At 35.6% G+C, this 19075-nt stretch overlaps 1 protein-coding gene across 14 annotated transcripts in view, besides 1 other annotated feature; it reads right to left on the reverse strand.

Annotated features, from left to right (window-relative positions):
• Positions 1–19075, reverse strand: part of A1CF (APOBEC1 complementation factor) — an 86219-nt gene that overhangs the window by 37561 nt on the left and 29583 nt on the right. For 7 of the 14 annotated variants that reach the window (XM_011539729.4, NM_138933.3, XM_047425131.1 and 4 more), the window contains 3 exons: positions 13696–13838; positions 7019–7153; positions 4893–5023 (listed from right to left, as the gene is read on the reverse strand). In XM_011539729.4, the coding sequence (XP_011538031.1) occupies positions 4893–5023; positions 7019–7153; positions 13696–13818 (389 nt within the window). In that variant the 5' untranslated portion in view covers positions 13819–13838. The remainder of the gene's footprint in view (positions 1–4892; positions 5024–7018; positions 7154–13695; positions 13839–19075) is intronic. The other 7 variants (NM_001370130.1, NM_001370131.1, XM_047425130.1 and 4 more) reach the window with 1 other exon arrangement.
• Positions 12886–13086: a silencer, noted in NCBI's record as "peak944 fragment used in MPRA reporter construct". NCBI's record gives its function as "represses an SCP1 promoter by STARR-seq MPRAs in K562 erythroleukemia cells {active_cell/tissue: K562}" and the evidence as "EXISTENCE:reporter gene assay evidence [ECO:0000049][PMID:32103011]".

The raw sequence follows: 19075 nt of genomic DNA on the forward strand, positions 1-19075 counted from the left end.
GGTCCCTACACCTAACCCAGGTTACTGAAGCCACCTGCCTGGCCCTGCAGTCGCTTGAGTTTGCAACACCTGACATTCCTTTTCTTTTGTAGCCAAAGAGAAAAGCTGTTCTGATGTGATCTCTGTTAAAAACAGTCTTTTATACTTGAACACATTTTCACATATGACCTTATCTGCCCCACACAAAAAGACTGTGAGATCGGCAGAGTAGAAGTTATTTCCATTTACAGATGAACTTGAAACTCCAAGAAATAAAAAGACTTGCTTAAAATGTTATAGATTTTAAGGAATGAAACCTAGCTGTGGGATCTCAGTTCCTGTTTCTTCCACTGTACAGAGTTGCTTCTTAGCAAGTTGAGGTATGTACACCTTCACTGGCAGAGTACACATGGATTAAACTATTCTGGAGAACATTTGGCAAAATGTATCAAAAGTCTTAAGTGTGCACAACCTTTGACCAAATAAAGTATCTTCTGGGAATATGTCCCTGGAAAATAAAAGTGAGCCCTAGAATTTATGTTTAAGGATATTTATTACTGCTCTTTAAAATCTCCCCCAAATTGGAAATGAGCAAAATACCTCACGGTAAAGAACTGGTTTAATGTCTCTCAACTGAGATGTTACTGGCTTTGGATTGGACATTTTCTCATTGCATACTGTAGTACGTTTACCATCTCTAGTTCTTGCGTACTACATGCCAATAGTGACCAATCTGATCATTCAAAAGTGCCTCCCCACCTTTCTAAATGCCCCCTTGGGTGGACAGTACTGCTCCTGATTGAGAATCACTGGTAAACAAAAGACAGGCATTCATACCATTGCACGCTCTGCAGTCGTTAAAAAGAGTAACGTAGAAGAATATATATTGGTTTAAAAAAACAGTTCACAATTGGCTGCTAGGCTTTAAAAGGCTATAAAATAAGTATATGTGAAGGCCATTTTGATTAAAAATGTTTAGAAAAATCTGGAAAGACAATAAAATATCAACATAGTGGTTATTTTGGGGCAATGGAGTTGCGGAGAAATGGTTTTAACTTTTATTACTTTATGCTTTTTGATGTTTTCCATGTGTTACATATTAGGCTATATGACTTTTGTAATAACACTAAGTTATTAAAAATGGGTGAAGTATGCTTAGCAGAAACGACCCATTTGCCATGAATAAAAGCTCTCAGCCAGGTGAGTGGGCGATTGGTCTGATATCCATGGAGCGAATGGCTCTTGGTTGTGTGGCAGGTTTTCTGACCAGGGTTAGGCCACTGTCCTAGCTGTCTCCTACGCTTTGCTGAAGAACCAAGGACCGTGTGTCAGATCTGTGACAGGTCCATCTCAGTCTAGTAAGAATTGTGCCAGGAGTGTGGTTCTCAAGGTGAGGGAAGGGTTGAAAAAATAATCTTCCAAGTTTTTTTTTAAACTTTACTTAAAAAAGAAAACACCAAAACCTTGTTTTCCACAGTATTAATGTATTTAGAAATTATATTATTTTTGATAGTTAGGGGGCTGGTCATATATCAGTTACCAGCAGGAGGAGCCTAGAATTCCATATTTTATTTTTAAATGGTTGTGGTTTGTCAGGCACCTTTCCCGGAATTATTTGGAGACAAAGAGCCATCTCCTTTCAAAAGCTGAGGCCACAACTTTAATGTCTCTAGAAGCCAGACATTTAGATGACGATCAGTGAATATCTGATGAAGTAGAAGCTGATATAATGATAGGTGGGTGAGAAATGGTGGATAAAAGCAAATTGAAGGTTTCTTCTCTGCAACAAAAGTTCTTTCCCTGGCAGGACTGACCCAAGGCAGAGTGCAAGTAGGTGAGGTTGTCTATGGGGTGTTTATTCTGGCTTGTCTTATTCCGTTTATTCTACCCCCTAATTTTTAAGGTAACACTCTGCCTTTACCTTGCTTCTGGCATCCAACCTGTGCTTTGACTGGAATTTTGGCCAGTAACTTTCTCTTCCTAATTTCTGTCATATTTTTCCTTTTCTTTTCCCTTCTCCTCCTCCATCATCACCACCATAACCTTCTGCAAACATTCATAGAGCACCTAGTATGTGTCAGCACTGAGATGTATGTATATTATCTCATTTATTTTTCAAAACACCTCATGAGGTAGGTATATTTTTATCTCTATTTCACAGACAAAGACACTAAAATTCACAGAGGATACTGTTAATTATCAGTGGCCGTAGTGGATTGATTTTATTCATTATTCATATCCTATCTGCTGTCCAAAAGTATTTACAGGCCCTATTGGGTAACAATGTGTTAAGTAGATACAGTAAATCCACTTGATTCCCTACATAGCCAATTCCATATCTATCTCAACTCAAATACCGTTTTGGGAATAACCCTTACTGTTACGATGTCAAGGTTCCATGAAAGACCAAGGAATGGGGGAAACTTCCAATTCTGGAAATCATAAAACTGTAATGTAGCGTTTTGTAGCCCTTTCAAAGCACTTTAGTATATATTCTTTCATATGGTGAATGCTCAGAACATCTCTGTGTTTAGGTGCCAATGATAAAAGTGATGCTCAAAGAGGTTAAAGCATTCGTCCAAAGGAACCTGGGCTGGACCCCAGATCTCCTGATTCCTACTGCAAACAATCCTCCACATACTACACAAAGCTCTTTTGGGTCCATGGAGGCACCTGTGGGAGGGAAGCCTCCTTTATGTTTTCTCCAAGACTCTTTTCTAGAATCCAGCCTTGGAATTGAATGGTTAGACTACAAGTAGTTGCCGAATCCAACTGATCTTCCTGTGGCTAAGGCGTTGTTTGTTTGTTTGTTTTTTGAGACAGAGTTTCGCTCTTCTTGCCCAGGCTGGAGAGCAGTGGTGTGATCTCGGCTCACTGCAATCTCCACCCTGCCAGGTTCAAGCAATTCTCCTGCCTCCCGAGTAGCTGGGACTACAGGCATGCGCCACCACGCCCTGCTAATTTTGTATTTTTAGTAGAGATGAGGTTTCTCCAGGTTGGTCAGGCTGGTCTCAAACTCCCAACCTCAGGTGATCCGCCCGCCTTGGCCTCCCAAAGTGCTAGGATTACAGGCGTGAGTCACTGTGTCCGGCCCAGGAATTTTTAATAAAATAAGCCAGTAGTTAATTGATTTACAGACTGTAAGGATAATGTATGACTTCTTTTGGTCCTATAGAAAGTGAGAGAAAAATAATTGTGGTAAATCTGCTCTTTCTGCATTCATCAAATTTAAGATCTACCCATTTTAAGGTGCAGTTCTCTTTCAGAAGGGGATAAGATGTAAAAAAAAAAACTGCATCTAGAATTGATGAACTGTGCTAAAATACAATTTTTTTTTTTTTATCATTTGTCGGCTTATCACTGTGTTCCAAACACTGGGTTAAGCACTGTAAAGTTGTTATAGCAATAAACCTATGAAATAGATGGTATCCCCATTTTATAGATGAGGAAATTGAGGCTTAGAATGGTGAAGTTACTTGGTGGCACTCAAATGAAGCATGGCTGACTCCAAAACTATTGCTCTTTAACTGCTGCACTAATCTTCCTCTCACGTGGCTCAGGGCTTCCTTTAAGAAAGAATTTATGACGGTTCTCTCTCCAAGTGAAGGTTTTAGAAATCAGACAATTTCATGATGTCAGTTTTATTTCCAGTTTATCAAAACGGGCAATTGGTTGCACAAAGTCAATTACATGGGACTCTCCCCTAGTCCCATGGTCTTAATTGCTATCTATATTTAGCTGACCCCCAAATTTATATTCCAACTGTGACCTGTCTCCTGACTCCACCACAATGCAGACAGTCACCTTCTCAACACCTCCCCTGGGATGTTCAATGTGCATCTCAAATGTAAAGTGCCCTAAAAGGTCCTTCCTCTGCTGTTCTTCCAGTCTTTTCCATTGCAATGGCACTAACAAGTTCACAGATACTCGGACCAAAATCCTAGGTTTCCTCCCTGAATTCTGAATTCTCTCTCAGTCTAAATCCAATCTCTAGCCAGATTTGTGTATATCCCAGATCTCACCCTTTCTTATCTTGTCCACCATGGACCCCCTCATCCAACTACCACCATCTCTTGTCCAAATCTAGACAACTGCAGCAGCCTTCTAACTGGTGTCCTCTTTCAAACCTCACCTGCTATAGTACATTCTCAACCAAACAGCAGAGGAATGTTTAAAAAACTATAAATGTAATCAAAACTCTTTCCTCCCTTCTATTAGAAGAAAATTCAAATTCATCACCACAGAGACTTCTGTACTTCATCTACACTTCCTCACACAGTGCACAGCTCTCCAACTGTATTGCTTTCAGTCCTCCTCTCTTTACCCTCTCCGGCCACATGGGCTTGCTTTCTGCCCCTCAAACATATCACGCTTGTTTTCACTTCGGGAACTTTATACTTGATGTTCTCTCCTTTCCTGAAATAACCTTCCCAAGGTCTGACTGTCATGACTGGCTCTTTTCATTCAAGTCTCAGATTAAGTTTCACTCTGCCAGAGAGTATTTTCTTAAATACACCAAATTAGAGTAGCCACCTTCTCACACAACTTTATCCCATCCCTGGTTTGATTTTTTCATACTATTTTGAGTGATCTTATATATTTGCTCTGCAAGTAGGAAATTATACCTTGATATATTCCCAATATTTTGAACAGTGCCCAATATATATTTATGAAACAGGCAAATTATTAAGTTTTGTTTCTTTGAACACTCATAGAACTTAGTTTGGTATTCATATAGTATTGATATTAATAAATATTTAATCAAATTTATTTTTGCCAAGGAAAAATACTAATCTATTTCATTTCTGGCTTGGCTTTTTTTTTGGCATACACCATATTAGATAAACTTGATAGAAAAACAGACACAGGTGCATTGTTTGTTTCACTTTTAATCTAGAAGAGGCGGAGCTTACCTAATTTCATAATTATTAAGTTGCTTGATTGCATTCTTGGCTTCCACTTTATTTGAAAATGTTACAAATGCATATCCTCTATTGTTGCCATTAAAATCCATCATCATTCTCATTTCATAAATTTTACCGATCTGCAAGTAATAGAAATAGAACATTTATATTTATACGTTTGTACTTCTGAATGTATGTGTGCATGTGCTGATACACACACAAACACACACACACACAATGCTTTCTGAAGTTTGCCTCCTGCCAGTACTATTTGGCATTTGCATCCCATGTGGAATGGTTTGCATATTTTCATGTGGGTTCAGATCAGTTATCTGATTCATGAGAGAAGTTAAGTTAAATAAAATGTGTACAAGTGACATTTCAGCCTGAGTTAACAGAATGTGTTTTTGGTAGGGCAAATGACCTTTTATCACATAATTATCTGGAACATCTTAGAGACATGAAAACACATTTTATCATAAGTACAGTTTCTTACACCTGTAATTCCAGCATTTTGGGAGGCCAAGGCAGGTGGATTGCTTAACCCTGGGAATTTGAAACCAGTTTGGGCAAGATGGTGACACCCTGAGTCTACAAAAAATACAAAAATTAGCTGAGCGTGGTGGCACGTGCTTGTAGTCCCAGCTACTTGGAAGGCGGAGGTGGGAGAATTGCTTGAGCCCAGGCAATAGAGGCTGTAATGAGCCATAATTGTGCCACTGCACTCCAGCCTGGAAAACAGAGCAAGACACTGTCTCAAAAAAAGTGCAATTTTTTGATGTATATGTCCATTTCCTCTAAATTGTCCTCTGAAATCTCCATAGTTTAATTTCCAGTTGGTCCTATTCTATCATTGATGTTTAAAATAAAATCCAAGAATGCTCATTCGCCAAACTAACTTCTTAGCAGTCTTTTTCCTCAGCCATGACATCAAAATGAACACAGATATGTTTCAGGGGATGATCTGGGAGGCTTGTCATTTTCTCTGTCTGCTGGCTGAATGTAAATGCTAGCCTAAATACTACTAACTCAGGGCTAGGGCCTCCAGAGCAGGAGAACACTCTATTCCCCTGGCTATAGTGACTCTACTTGCCCATGTAATACTCCCTTCTACTCCACAACTGTCCTGCAGCAATCTAGACTGAGCAATTTACTATCACTGGCTGCTTTAAGAAGGGTTGCCCAAATAAATATGATGGCGCATGTCTGGAGAGAAGTGCCATTAAGCACATGCCATTTGTGGTTGGTCACTTCTCAGCTCAGCCTTACCCTAGCCCACCCTCACGTATTCAGTAATGAACACCTATTTCTTCTGGGCTCATTAGGAAATAGTTTGAACATGTTACATCTCTATGTTTCAGGTGTTTCTTGATGCTCATTTTCAGATTCAGTATATAAGATTCTTACAGAATTAAGTCCTCATCATTTGTCCTCATGCCAAGAGGGATTGTATGTGTAAAATTAGGTGCAGTTCTGAATCTGAGGCTGTTAACACACACACACAAAATTGATTTTGGCATTCAGGCAGAGAGCTAAATTCTTATATTTACTAAATTTTTCAGGAATGTGCTTGTTGCTAAAAACTACTTGGTAAATTATTAAAAATAAAATTTAATTTTGTATTCTTCCTTTAACTGAAAAGCCATGTTCTTAATCTTCTTGATGCATTTAGGTAGACAAAAAATTCAGACCTGGAGATTTCATTCTGGATTATAGATACATGTTGAGCCTTGTCAAACATACACATTCTTTTAAAATGAAAATGTTGTACTTTATAAAACTGTATTAAAATTTCAAGTTGGAGCAATATCTAATTTTAGACAGGTTATTGTAGGGTTATTGTTGATGGATAGTTTGTAGTCAGATGGCATGACAGTGGAAAGATTGGGGAACAAGATATAGATTTGACAGTCATTAGAAATTGTAGCAATTCAAGCTGTCAGTAACAGGACAAGAGCTAGGTCAAGGCAGTGATTATAAAGAGATAATCACTAGAAACTTTGTCTATAATTGAGGAATGGTAATTGGAATGGAAACAGCCACTGACCAAGAAGGCTGAGAATGAAAGCAAAGTGAAGAGAACAGTATTTTTCCCTTGAACGATAAGAAAAATTAAATGTTAAATTTGGACTCACTTTTTCACATAATGGTATAAGCTCATCCTCAAAAAGGTCTCGGGGAAGTTTTCCAATAAAAATTTCACAGCCCCTTTCAGGGGGTGCAGCATCCCAACCAGGTGGAGGGCCACCATATTTTCTTTGTCCATTTTCCTGCAAATCCAGGGCAGGTGTGAAGGAGAGGAGAAAATGATCAAGACTTTAATTCAATTTCCCTGAGTATTTTTCAAAATAATTTCACATTAATGAATGTATTTATCATTGACAAGTAATAATAGTGGACTGGTTAAAGGAGAAAAATTAAAGCTTTTTATGTGGATTATAGTACCACACTCTGTGCTTCAGCAGCTTGCTTGAGATAAACATTGTGAAAACTTGTAAACTGCTAGGCAAATATTTTTTTTTTCTTTTTTAATTTCATTGAGTAAGAACACTTAAGAGATCTATCTTCTTACCACATTAAAGAGTAAATAGATCAGGGTAATTAGTATATCCATCATCTCAAACATTTATCATTTCTTTGTGTTGGGAACACAAGGAATAGCCTTCTTCTAGCTATTTACAACTACATATTAATAATATATTATTGTTAAACGTAGTCATCCTGCAGTGCTATAGAACAATAGAACTTACTCTGACTGAGGCAGAAGGATCCCTTGAGCCCAAGAGTTCACTACTAACTTCTACAACTAATATTTTAAGAAGTTTCATGCTATAAAATGATACAAGTTGTGGAAAAAACACAGTGACATGTAAAGTAAAAAGAAAAATTCTCCAATGTATCACTGTACCATCCTTAGAAGTAGTTACTGTCAAAAATTTCATAGGCCTTTTCAAATATTTTTCTATGTATATTTTTAAAAGACATATGTTAGTTGTTTAAATACACTGCTTTGTATGACTGTTGTTTAAAATTGAAGTAAAGCAGCTTGTAGTGTCCCTGTTAAATCTTCATATACACCAACTTGAGTCTTTCTCAATTATATTTTGTAAGTGTTAGCACAAAGGCTCTTTGGATCACAGTATTTAATTCATATCTGTGGTGTCTGTGGGTCATGATCACACATTATTTCTAATAATTCATACCACGTTTTTTAAAAATAATAACTTAAAAAGATATCATATGAGTCTTCTACTTTGCCTGGATTACTTTTTTTGTTTCAAACAACTGAGTATTTTTAAAATCTAATTGAATATTTAAATTTTTGCCTAGAGAGTTCCTGTACTTTTTTCTTACCCTAATATTCTTGTCCATTAGTAAAACTTTGATATCACTGAGAAATCTGAGAAATTGAAATACTTATGCTTATAGAAAAAAACCCCAAAACCTTGGTAATTTAGTGGTTTATATCTCAACCAAGAATTACCTTAAAAATGTGCAATTGACATTTTCAGAGACATTAATGAGTTTTATTTATTTACTTCTTTTCAAACAAATACCTATATAGCATTTACTATATGTCAGATACTGCTCTGTCATTACTTAATGTCATGGGTTAAGGACAGTTATTATCCCATTTACATAAGGTATCAAAGCCCAGATAAATTAATTTGCCAAGGTCACATGGTTGGGAAGTGGAGAAGCCAGAATTTGAACCCAGGCAGTCAGGCATCAAAGTTCATCAGCTTAATTTTTGCATTTTGCTCCTTTGATACGTGGAAGCCACTTATAACAGATACATACATTAAAATATTCCTTATTGGTCTGGCATGGTGGCTTATGCCTGTAATCCCAGCACTTTGGGAGGCTGAGGTGGGTGGATGGCTTGAGTCTAGGAGTTCGAGACCAGCCTGGCCAACATGGTGAAACCCCATCTCTACTAAAAATACAAAAATTAGCTGGACATGGTGGCACATGCCTGTAATTCCAGCTACTTGGGAGTCTGAGGCATGAGAATCACTTGAACCCAGGAAGTAGAGGTTGCAGTGAACTGAGATGTTGTCACTGCACTCCCACCTGGGTGATAGAGCAAGACTCTGTCTCAAAAAAAAAAAAAAAACTCCTTATTTATGAAAAAATGTATCATGCCATTAAATAGCAAATTCTCTACTGCAATTTAAAATCCTTTCAATTTCCGATCATTTTATTACATAAAATATTTGGAAGAACATATCTCATATTTCTAACCCCAAAATCCAAAATTCAAAACTTTTCAGTGCCAACATGATGCCACAAGTAGAAAATTCCACACCTGACCTCATGTGATGGGTATACGAAATCGTTAAAAGCATTGTATAAAATTACCTTCAAGCTATGTGTATAAGGTATATATGAATTATAAGTGTATTCTGTGTTTATACTTTGGGTCCCAACTCCAAGATATCTTTATAATGTATATGCAAAAATTCTAAAATTAAAAACGTCTGAAATCCAAAATACTTCTGGTCCTAAGCATTTTGGATAAAAGATACTCAACCTGAATTGCCAAATTACCATCCTTCTCCCTGGGCAAACTCTTTCCATTTCGGTGATAATGATGCTTCTGAGCCCATTTTTATGTATCTTTGATGTCTGTAACATTCAACAGATTATAAGTTTACTATACATTGGGTGGTATTTTTACCCTTCAAGTTGAGGAAACCAAACTTTAATCTCATAATAGTAAAATGGTAATTCCAGAAATTCTGCTTTGAATAGCTTTGATAGTTTGAAAATAAATAGGCAACCAGCAGATTGACCTGTTTAAATATATCTTCAACTTTCTTGATTGCTATAATTGCTAAAAATGCCATCCAACTATTTATGCATATGATGCATATAGGAAGATTTACCTGCTTACAATCTGAAATAACTGGGCAAGAAAGCATATTAATTGTCTTTCTTTGTTTTTTATAAACACTTGAAAAAAAATCCAAAGAATATTTTTTGAGACTGTAAAGAGTCTGGCCAGTTCAGGGATGCCCTGTAGTTCACTCAGTAGGGGAGATTTGCTCTGTGAGCCACCCGCTGGTCTTGGAATGTACCAGTAATGGAAGTTCAGATCAATTTAAGACAGGCAATGGGCATTAGTCATGGGGTTAGAATAGCTGTCCATTACTCAGAAAGGACAGTTGGGCTCTGGGTTGCTAATATGTCAGGTACTATTTTCATAGTTGAGGAGTTTAAAATAGATAAAGCCCAGTTATAACTGCTCTTTTCTCTCCTAGCTGATGTCTTCCTCAAGGGAAGCATTCTCCCCAGCAGCACAAATGTATTAATAGTTCAGACTAAAAGAATATAGATTTTTGTTTTTCATGAGAGAATGTTTATTAAACTCTGGAAACTTTTATTTTTCCAAAGACTTACAAACCGTTGTCTCTCTAGAGTCATATACAAATAGGTGGAAAGTCTTCACCTATGTAAATTAACAATTGAGGACACAATTCTAACTATAAATCCAGTGGCTTTAATTTACATATTGGATGCTGAGCCTACCCAGTTACTCAGTTTATATGTCAAGAGTACTTGGAAATTTCCTCCTATCACAGATATTTCAAGTCCTTCATGATGAAGCCATTGAGTCTTCAAGAGATTTTGTCTACCATCTTCTTGACCTTGGATAAAAGCCACAAAACCTTCCTCAATAAATCATTCTAAGCAGTAAGTCTTAGCATGAAGATTGAATGAACTGAGTTAATTTTGGCCACTGAGCGTTTGAACTTGTTATATACCTGGGGAATCTGGGCAAAAATTGCCTTCTCCTATAGAACTTAAAAATGACAGATACTTGATTTTTCTAGCCTTCCTTGCAGCTGGGGCCATCATGGTTATTGGAAAATCATGGTTTCCTTTACTAAACCATGGACAATCATGGTTTCCCTTACTAAAATTGAGTTCTGATGCAAAAGCCACAAATGGTGCAAACTTTAATGTTGAGCATTCTGTGATGGCAGATAACATTTCCTTATCATGACAATTATGTGATGTGGTTTTGGGTTTTGTTCTTAAAAGCTTACCCTTGAATTGGATTCTCCACATCTAAAGTTTCTGTGAACCAGTACCCTTTTAATAAACTCTTTTATACTTAGCCAGTCAGAGTTAGCTTCTGTTACTTGCACATGACAGTAATGACAGCAAAAAACAACAACTATCTCCAATTGAATTAGGTATTTTTCTGAGTGCTTTACATTTATTTAATCTTCTCAACAAATCTATGAGGATGCTACTACTATTACTTCCATTTTATAGGCAAGGAATCCAAGGCATAAAATATGTCCAAATTCATACAAGCAGTAAACAGCAGAGAAAAAATATGAAGACGCTTGTAGTTCCATTATCTTTCCTTCATTTTTACATTAACACAATATACTAACTTTATAGATGAGGAAACTAAGTCCAGAGATACATAACTTGTCTAATATCACACTGGTTTAATTTATTGTAGAAAAGACTAGAATAAAGGTCCTATCATTCTCAATTTGGTGAACTTTATGGCATATATAGTACTCAAAAATTGTGATGATTATTCTTCTCAGGCTTATCAGCCTCATAAATCCTCATGTTGTGTGTTACATTTATTTTCCTGCTCAACTTCACCAATCATGGACACCAGATGGTTATTGTTTCCCATAAATGAGCCCATTCATAACCGGAAGGACATTAATTAATGAACCCTCATTCAGCCTGTTTTTTCCTGAGTAGTAATTTCAGTTTCTTTAATGGCTCTTTGGAAAGTTCATATTTCAAGTTTGTAATCGTCTTTGTGGTTCTCTTTGATTCTTTGTTTCTTTTTCTCCCCTCTCTCTAAGAGGGAAGAAACTGTGTATTTTTCATAACTAAACTTGTTTCAGATGTTTTCCTGTACATTTTCCAATTGACCAGGTTAGTATTTATTCCTGCTCCTGTTCCCTTGGGTCCTAGCCAAATCTACCCTTGCTTAGTAGCATTTCAAGATTTTACCAGCTTGCCAGTCACCAGGACCATACCCAGAACAGTGGTTCTGTGATCAGACTCCTGTGCATGGTTCTTAAAGTTGACAACAAGGCATGGAGGACATCACTCTTGACTGTGTCACTTGTGTTTCATGAGTCTATACTGTATTTTCCTAGTTGTTGATTTGTGAAATTGAATAAAAGTATTTATTAGACATTATTTCTATTGTATTCCACCTATATACTAGATCCTTCATTATGTGATAGATAGTTTAAGGAAAGTCTATGGGGCCATAAAAGGTACCAACAGGATCCTCTTCAATGTGATTTTACCTTTGGTCTCTTCTAAAGTTTTTGTTGCCTGAGAACAACACACAGTGCTGCAGGGAATATTCATTTCTAAATTGTATATAAAATAATTATCTATTTTGTATAGTTTGTTCACCTTCACATCTTGTTAAAATCAGTGACTTCATGTTGGTAAAATCTGTTTTTAGACTGGAATTTAGAAAGCAGAATTTATTTGGCTTAATATACTGTAGAAGTTGGCATTATTTCTATTGGCTATTTTTCTACAATTTTTACAAGATGTATGCAACTTGAATGCCAGATATAATGTTCCTAAAGTAGGAAGAATAATAAAAATTGTGTATAAAGACTAAATGAGTTGTTGAAATTTTGTGGAAATGTAGATTAGAAACAAAGACAGGAAAAGCTACGATATGAACATTATCAAATATTAATTTAGCTTTATCATCATATAGCCTAGTGTTTCTCAAAATATGTGAGGATGATATTAGATGGTTTATAGGTCAGTATTTCTTATTTTAATAATTATGCATTTATTTTAATGTACATTAGAAAAAGTATAATTAGCACACAAAACCTGTGGGTTTCTTACATATGTGAGAAAAAGTTTGCTTTTAACATAAACGACTAAAAATAGTGAGTTGATTTAATGAATTCTTTTTTTTTTTTTTTTTTTTTTTTTGAGACGGAGTCTCGCTCTGTCGCCCAGGCTGGAGTGCAGTGGCGCAATCTCAGCTCACTGCAAGCTCCGCCTCCTGGCTTCACGCTATTCTCCTGCCTCTGCCTCCCCAGTAGCTGAGACTACAGGCGCCTGCAACCATGCCTGGCTAATTTTTTGTACTTTTTAGTAGAGACGGAGTTTCACTGTGTTAGCCAGGAGATTTAATGAATTCTAAATAAATAATATTGGTGGCATGTATCTATGGCAAAAATCATGAAGAAAGATGCAAATGGCTCTTGGCTCTTGACTTTCATTTATTGGTTTCACTTTTTACAAAGCCCTGACATTTTATCTTTAAAAAATGTATGATATGGTTCTTCTAAGGAAACAACTATGAGTAAATTATGAGTCACCTTCCTGTTTCACTTTGGAAGATTGACCATTGAAAGTCTATTTCCAAGGAAATTAATCCCAATTTCACTTGAAGTTGTTAACTATCTTATGGAAGCAGAAGTAATTTATGTTTTCAAGTTGATGCATTTAATAATATCTTTTAATAATTTCCCTTTATGTTTAAGGATTATTCAGTATCAACGTTTGAAGCATTCAAAAGCAAATAGGCTTTTTTAAATGATGTGTTTTGCAAAGCTTTTTATAATGTAAGATTTTGGTCATTCATAAGAATATTGAATTTGAAAATAGACAAAATTAGAAAACAGAAAACATTTTGTCAGTGTTTTTCAAAATTACAAAACAGAAAACTTATTCGAGTGTTTTTCAAAATTAGAAAACAAAAAGCATTTGTGTGTGTGTGTGTGTTTCTGTAAAAGAGAACGAGTAAAATGCCAACTCACTTCTAAGACCCTCTGCTTACCTTTTCCAGCAAAGTTTGCAAAATGATGGACTGCAAAGCATTATTTCCTTTTTTGAGGCCAGGAATTGCTGTGCTCATGCTCGCTTCTGGCTCTGGGCATGTGCCCAGACACACTGCTTCCATCTATAGGAACCTCTAAATTCCTTTCAAGAAGTAATTAGGTGACAGCTTTAGTCATTCCTTAATCCGTTTGGAGCTTTTATCCTTAAAGAATGTGTAATTTATTCAATAGGCCCATCTAACTTTTTTGTTTACTTACAATTTGCCTTTTTGAATTAACTATTATTATGGCCGCTAGATCTGATTAAGTTATGCAAAACTTCCCATGTGCAGATAAAGACATAATAAAGAACATTTGGTTTGGGTAATTGCTCTTCTATCTTTTCCTAGTTCAACATATGCCAAACATAATCCCATCCAATGCACCGGGTTTGAGGCATGTAAGGAATTTTGTATAATCATTCTTCTCCTTACAACACTCTTGTGAATTTTAATTTCTGACAAGCTGAGGGACTTGGCAAGGCACTAAATCTATTCTGACTTTAATTATTTCATCTATGAAGGAGTAGGAGGGTTGACTAGGTGATTGCAGTAGTCCTGTAGGGGTGTGAGGGTGCTTGTAAAAGGAAGGCTGACTTTGATATCATGTTTAATGGAGGAAAATGTTCATAGGATGTTTTGTGAGTTAGTCAATTGGAGCCTTAAGAGGATATTGTAATTTTAAAAATCAGTGTATCTTCAATTCCATGTCCAATTGACATCTATTCTGTTAATTACCTAATGACTTTATGCATTGATTCACTTTGTTACTTAAATAAGCTTATATCAAAAAGAAAATATATTGTTCTTATAAGTGGAATATCAGTATCATTTCCCATAAATGGTCGGTGATTATAAAAACAATTGCAAACAAGGGAAATCATGGTCAACTTCTACATAGACACTGTCTACTAAAAGCTCTGCACTCTAGTTCTGCTCTCGGGACTTAAAAAGGTTAGCAGGGCCTGAAGAGGTGTTTAAATCATACCTCCAACAACTAACTTTCCTCACCTGGAAGCCTGAGAGAGAACTGAAAGTGGAATAATTCTCTCTATATGGGATTGGATGTTATTTAATGATGTGGACAATGTGCCATTTAACATCATCTTGGTTCCCTGCTCAGCACTTCTTTAACAATGTTACAAAGGATCACAGCTGCTGAAATCCTATACAAATTCATGATTGCAAGGAACTGTGATCTCAATAATTTCTTCTTTGCCTAGCTTGTTTGAAAGCTGTCTTTTGCATCTCATAATGCTAAGCTTTCAGGTTCTGAAGATGAAGAGTCACTTAATTTTAGTTGCCAATCAGTACTCACAAATGAATAGCACTTTAAGAAAAAGTGTGAATTTGTCAGCGTGCGCAGTCCAAAGTCCACAAGACCTGCTCATGCTTCTGCATATTTGGGTCATGAGGTCACACCAATTTTTAAGCTGATAAAATAGAAAAAGTCTGTGCTTCTAGCTTAAGGGAAAGCACTACCTTGTGTCGTTTATGAAGATTTTGAATCTTATATCAAACACTTCATATATAGTCAACACCCTATGAGGCTATTCGAGGAGAAATTCATTGCTATTTGGAAATAATAGCTTCTGGAACATATCTGTGTTCCTTGGGATAATGAAGTTCCCACAAATGTTGGGCACACACCCCCTCCACAAAGGGATTCACAGAACTGCTCCTTCATTTGGAGTCTTTCACACCACGCTATGGCATCTCTGGCTAGTAGAAGTAAGACTGCTTCTGAGCTTTAAAATAAAGTTGGCCTGTGGGTGGCTGGGGTGATAAGCTTAGGGAAGCATGAGCCTGTGATAATCTACTGGTCCCATCCTGTTCTAATGCTTATTGCTACCTATTTAAAGAATTGGTATCCGTGCACTTGGTGAATGACCTAAGTCCTTGGATAGCAGGGATGTGAGCAGGTGGTGAAAACAGGCAATAGAGGAAAAAGTAGGACCCAGGAGCTATATTTTGCCATGAAGTCAAATTCCTATTTCTGTCCCTAGGATTTTTTGTGCAGTGGTTGAAAAAGAATGTCAATGCCACAGTGTTTTTCCATCTGCTCCTCTCGGAGCCAGTCTAGATGAAGCCAATTAGTAAACCTGAGACCCTCAGGTTATTTTTATTGTATTATTTATAGGAAAAAATGCCATTTGAGGAACATTCAATTAAAATTACCTAAGTACATTATCTCAAACCGGAAAGATGGAGAGTTAGCTTAATTTGGGGCACTCTTAGAAGAGGAACGGTATTCTAATTAGACTTGATCTAGCTCCATTCTTTGTACCTGATGGCTTGTATTTGCTGAAGAACTGAACAAATTAGAATCAAAACATGTGATTTCATTGAAATTCCATACAAGAGAGAATGCATATAAAGGAAAGTGTGAGGGGTGGGAATTGAATACTGTATTTTGTTCCTAGTTTGAGGAGATTGTTCCCAGGACACCAGGTTCATGGCTGATTAACAGAGGAAGGGAAAGATGAAATCCACCGACTTATCTGCTGTAATCTCACTAGATCTTTGAAAGTAAGACACATTAATGTCTTCACTACCCAAAAGTGTTCTGCACTGTATAAATATTTTGTTTAAGGAGTACTGCCTGTGTGCTCCATCTCCCAGGGATACTTGGCTCCTTGCAGAGTTTGTTTGCTCTCATCTGGTAAGTCTTAGCTTCAATGTAATTTTTCCTAAAGAAGGTCACCTGGCTTTGACTTTTACACAGCCTGGTTTATCACATTCTTGACACTTACCATGATCTGTAATTACTTTGCTTGTTTCTTTATCTGTTAATTTTCTATCTTTTCTATGAGACTAATCTTCATAAAGGTAGAAACATGTCTCTCTTTGTGGTGGAATCAAGAAATGAATTAATACATGAACGAGTGAGGGCCCAGTGCTTGAGGTGGTGTGAATGGGCAGCACAAGAAGGGATGCACCTACTTCTTTTAAGGGAGATTAAATACTAAATTAAAGAATTTTCTTTAAAAACTAGATTCGCTTCTAATATAGAGCAGTAGGCTAAGGAATCGAGTTGGAGTCAGCAATTTTTTTTTTTTTTTGTAAAAGGCCAAATAGTTGATATTTTAGGCTTTTTTTTAAAAAAAATGCTTAAAATGTAAAAAAAAAATCATATCTTGCAATTACTACATAAACAAGCTGTAGCCACATTTGGTTCATGGGGCATAGTTTGTTGACCCCTGATTAATAATTGTGTAATTCTGGGGCTTATTTTCTAACTGCAGAACAAAAGGATTGGACTATATCAATATTAAACAAATTTCATGTATATGTAGAATTAGAAAGAATAGTCTAGTGAACCTAGGGACCTATCACCCAAATTTAATAATAAAGTTTTTTTCCATGATTTTTTTCTTTTCTTTTTTTTAACTCCTGACTGACCCTTAGAAATCTTTTCTACCTTATGAGATTTTTTCCTTGTGATAAAAACGATCTGCATTTATTATAGAAAATTTAGAAAATGAAGAAGAGCATCAGGCAAGAAAAACTTAGAGATTATACTTTGTTATTTTACAATATTCTTTACTGTATGTGAATAATTTTTTAAAATATTCTTCACAAATTTATATGTAGCCTTCAGATTTTTAACTAAATGTTAAAATTGAATACTTCTCCATGTCTTTGAAAATTCTTTGAAATCATAATTTTATATTACTGTATAATTTGAAAATATAAGAATGATCATAATTTGCCTGACCATTAATATTACATTGGATATTTAGGATATGTTTAAGTTTAAATTTCTAAAAAATTATACATTTCACTATAATAACATCATTATGTCTAAATATTTGTCCTCATTCCTCAGGTCAAAGAGCATTGTCAATTTTAAGGCTCTATATAGAAAATGCTGATCTTTTTGGTACCCACAGCTGTATTGCTCATTTGAGGCTGCCTTATGTTGTTGTAAATTTTAGATACATTCTTTTTCATTTCACCCACTTTATATGAACTTTAGGTCAGGCACTGCATTTTTATACTCTATAATCCCGAGACCCAGCACTAATACATTTTTCTCAATAATAGGGACTAAGGAAGCAAAACAGAAGAACAAAACAAAACAAAACAAAAAATATTGATGTTTATTTAGGATGATCATTGGTTTACGAAAGCAAGGGGACTATCACACCTCAGAAAAATTGATTGTGCTGTAATGATTTTTAGAAAACAGACTACCAATAGGATAACTAGATAAACAAAGCTAATACACACCACATTTTAAATTTTATATATATTAGATATAATGAGTCTATTTTTAAAAAATTAAGACTACCTGAGGGTGATTTTTATTAAATATATATTTAGGTTTAGTTGCAATAGAATTAAACTTGATGTCAACAGACACCACGTTGGGTGGAAGTGTATATTTTTCTGAATATGCTCACATATGAGAATATATTTTTCTAGTTCTAAGGAGAAAATTTCAGGTGAGAGGAGCATCACATATCATAGTTTATGACCCACATCATTAATGCATTCTTGAGGAAAGACTCATCATAATGTAATTTTTTTTGTCTTTAGCTATCAAAGAAGTATATGCTAGCTTTCGAAATCAGGAAGTACAGTTAAGAATAAAAAAGTAGAGAAAAGAATCCCCACACATAATTCCATTACACAGAGACAAAGACTGTTCACATGTTAATACTGCAGCACACTTCCTTACAAAATATTTTTATAAGGCATAATACAATTATGAAGCTTAAAGTTTAACTTAGTAATATTATACAATTTTCAACAAGAGTATGTATTAAATACATACTATATGTGGGGTACTACATTATATCTCTTTTTTCTCTACAGTACTTTGATAAAAACTTCAGTCATCAATATCCAAAGATGTTTGATTATTTTAAAAAGATCACAAAGCATATTTCCAAACCCTTAGAAGCAGGCATTATTGCATCAGTTGCTACATAAAAGCCTGGGTCACGTTATTAAGTAACTCACAAAATTCTATTTTTGATAGCTGTATTTGTCCTGCTAGTGATAAGAGAGCACAAATTCATCACCCTCTGTTTTTTGAATTCTTGTTCTGTAAATATTCAACATTCAATATCAGAGACTGCAAAGATACAGCAAAAGTAAATCCTTCAAACCCTAATCTATAAAATTCTAAACTATCATTTTATGGGTATGCTGCTTGGATTGTATTAGGATGTTTCTTTATCTTAATTTTTGTACAAAAACTTTTTTAAAAAGTAAACTTGATGTTCTTAATGTTGCCTTTCTTTCTTTCTTTTTGGATAATCATATTGATCTTTTGTATAATCCAGAGTAGGAAGGCTGAAGTATTAGTAAGACTAAAGGATTTTCCCTAAGT

This window comes from Homo sapiens, chromosome 10 (genome assembly GCF_000001405.40).
Source record: "Homo sapiens chromosome 10, GRCh38.p14 Primary Assembly".
Taxonomy (NCBI): Eukaryota; Metazoa; Chordata; class Mammalia; order Primates; family Hominidae; genus Homo; species Homo sapiens.